The sequence below is a fragment of the Homo sapiens genome, chromosome 14 (genome assembly GCF_000001405.40).
Source record: "Homo sapiens chromosome 14, GRCh38.p14 Primary Assembly".
In the NCBI taxonomy this organism is placed as follows: Eukaryota; Metazoa; Chordata; class Mammalia; order Primates; family Hominidae; genus Homo; species Homo sapiens.
In genome coordinates, this window is record NC_000014.9 from 103243300 (window position 1) to 103246069 (window position 2770).

The 2770-nt window shown below is 45.1% G+C and overlaps 1 annotated feature.

The window, feature by feature from the left end:
• Positions 260–1459: an enhancer, noted in NCBI's record as "MED14-independent group 3 enhancer chr14:103709896-103711095 (GRCh37/hg19 assembly coordinates)". NCBI's record gives its function as "activates an origin of replication core promoter dependent on BRD2, BRD4, P300/CBP and CDK7 cofactors, and independent of MED14, by STARR-seq in HCT116 cells {active_cell/tissue: HCT116}" and the evidence as "EXISTENCE:reporter gene assay evidence [ECO:0000049][PMID:35650434]".

The window sequence follows — 2770 nt, forward strand, 5'->3', positions numbered from 1 at the left end:
CTGATCTTGAACTCCTGACCTTGTGATCCACCCGCCTCAGCCTCCCAAAGTGCTGGGATTACAGGCATGAGCCACTGTGCCAGTCCCTCTTAAATATATTTGATTGATGTCTAATGTCTCCCTAAAAATATATAAAACCAAGCTATATGTGCCCCGACCACCTTGTGCACATGTTCTCAGGACCTCCTGAGGGCTATGCTATGGGCCATGGTCACTCATATTTGGCTTAGAATAAACCCTGTAACATATTTCACAGAATTTGACTCTTTTCATTGACATGGATAAGGATCACATTGTACAATTTGTGGTAACTTTTAGGAAGTCTAGACAGTCAGCTAGCCTGGAAACTACAGGGAAGGAAAGAAAAAGCCTTTGAACAGTGAACCCTAGGCACAGCTGCTGGCATCATTGTTCTCTGGGCCTGATAAGTTTGCAGGTCTCACATTCCTCAGGCTGCTCTGAGCCACTTCTCTTTCTTATTTCCTCCTTTGGATCAAGATCTTGCTCTCTGAAAGTATTGATGATCAATATTTTATTTTATTTTATTTATTTTTTGGAAACAAATGCTCGGTGCCTCAAAGAAGAACCAGCACTGAGACTAAGGATCTCTCAGCAAGGCAAATTTACTTCGGCAGAAGGGTATGTGCATCTCACATGTGAAGTAATGGCAAAAGCACACAGAACAAAGGAAAGCAGGGGTTTTTATTATGTCTAACACAGCTTCTGCTTCTGTGTCTTTCCCCTATTGGCTAGGGTTGGACCACACAGTCTAAACTAGTCCCAGTTGGCTAAACATTTAAACTTTCTTAGATAAGGTAGGCACGTAAGGGAGGTGAGAAGGGAGAGAAGGGGGGTCATTTACGGAGGGACTAGGAGGGTAACCTATTCCCTAATAAGGAAAGAAATGTGGACTGGGGTTGTAGCAAGTTCAGGCATGCCTAGGCATATTCAGACAAGCTGCGGTGCAGCACAGGCAAGGGGGTATTTGGAATTGTAGGATAGAGAATGAGGAAACTGGATAAGCTGTTTGAAGAGGAAACCTAACTGCATCTAACATTTTATTTATTTATTGAGACAGAGTCTCACTCTGTTGCCCAGGCTTGAGTGCAGTGGTGTGATCTTTGCTCACTGCAACCTGTTTCCAGGGTGCAAGCAATTCTAATGTCTCAGCCTCCGGAGCAGCTAGGACTACAGGCATATGCCACCATGCCTGACTAATTTTTGTATTTTTGGTAGAGATAGGGTTTCAACATGTTGCCTAGGCTGGCCTTGAACTAACTCCTGGCCTCAAGTGATCCACCCTCCTTGGCCTCCCAACATGCTGGGATTATAGGCGTGAGCCCCTGCACCTAGCTGATCAACATTTTAAGTGTAAATTTGCCCAGCATCACTGGGAAGGCTCATTCCCATGGGGGGGGGGGGGGTAAGAGGAGAGGTGCTCTGGCTCATGAACTCGGTGAGGTCTCCAGGCAGAAGATATTGGCAGCACAACGGGACAGAGCAGCGGGATCCCAGGCCGCCTGCTTGGAGAGAAGCTGTGGTGTCGCGGATCATTCCTAAGTGTTCTAGCTATCATGATTTTCGTTTTTATTCTTGACTTTAGACATCTAGAAATACAAAGCCTAATCAAGTGAAGAATAAAAAATATGATGCAAATAAAATCCCAATCTGGAAAGCATTCCTATTCCTAAAGGTAATCAATCATGTAAATCACGTGAGGGGTCTGTTTTTCTACCATCTTGCAGCCATTTTGCCTTTTTTTTTTTTTTTTTTTTTTGAGACAGAGCATCACTCTGTTGCTCAGGCTGGAGTGCACTGGCGTGATCTCAGCTCACTGCAACCTCTGCCTCCTGGGCTCTAGTGATACTCCTGCCTCAGCCTCCCAAGTTGCTGGGATTACAGATGTGTACCACCATACTTGGCAAATTTTTTTTATTTTTTATTTTTTTTTATTTTTAGTAGAGATGGTGTTTCGCCATTTTGGCCAGGCTGGTCTCGAACACCTGACCTCAAGGGATCCACCAGCCTTGGCCTCCCAAAGTGCTGGGATTACAGGTGTGAGCCACCGCACCCAGCCCATTTAACTTTTTGAGTGATTTCTAATTAATTTCCCACTTCTCGTCCTGGTCTGAAGAATAAGGTAACTGGCTGCAGATCAGCTTCAGCTGGGGATCTCCAGGTGGAAGGTACCCATGCATGCAGGACTGCCTTTTTATTTATTTTTTTTAATTTTACGTTAAGTTCTGGGATACACATGCAGAACGTGCAGGTTTGTCGCATAGTATACATGTGCCGTGGTGGTTTGCTGCACCTATCAACCCAGCATCTAGGTTTTAAGCCCCACATGTATTAGGTATTTGTCCTAGTGCTCTCCCTCCCCTTGCCCTTTACCCCCTAACAGGGCCACGGTGTGTGTTTTTCCCCTCCCTGTGTCCTTGTGTTCTTATTGTTCAGCTCCCACTTATGAGTGAGAACATGCGGTGTTTGGTTTTCTGTTCCTGTGTTAGTTTGCTGAGAATGATGCCTTCCAGCTTCATCCATGTCCCTGCAAAGGACATGACCTCATTCTTTTTTATGGCTGCGAGGACTGCCTTTTTAAAATGAGAAATGTGAATGCATGAGTCAGTGCCTTTGAGTTTAGCTGCACAAGGAATTGGTAAACAATCCCCAACATGGGCCCTTCTGGTGAGCTGGAGGGAGTCCCTTATTTGATAGAAAGAGTCCTTGATTTGATGTCTTTTCCAAGAATCAAAACCTCCTAGTTGCAGGC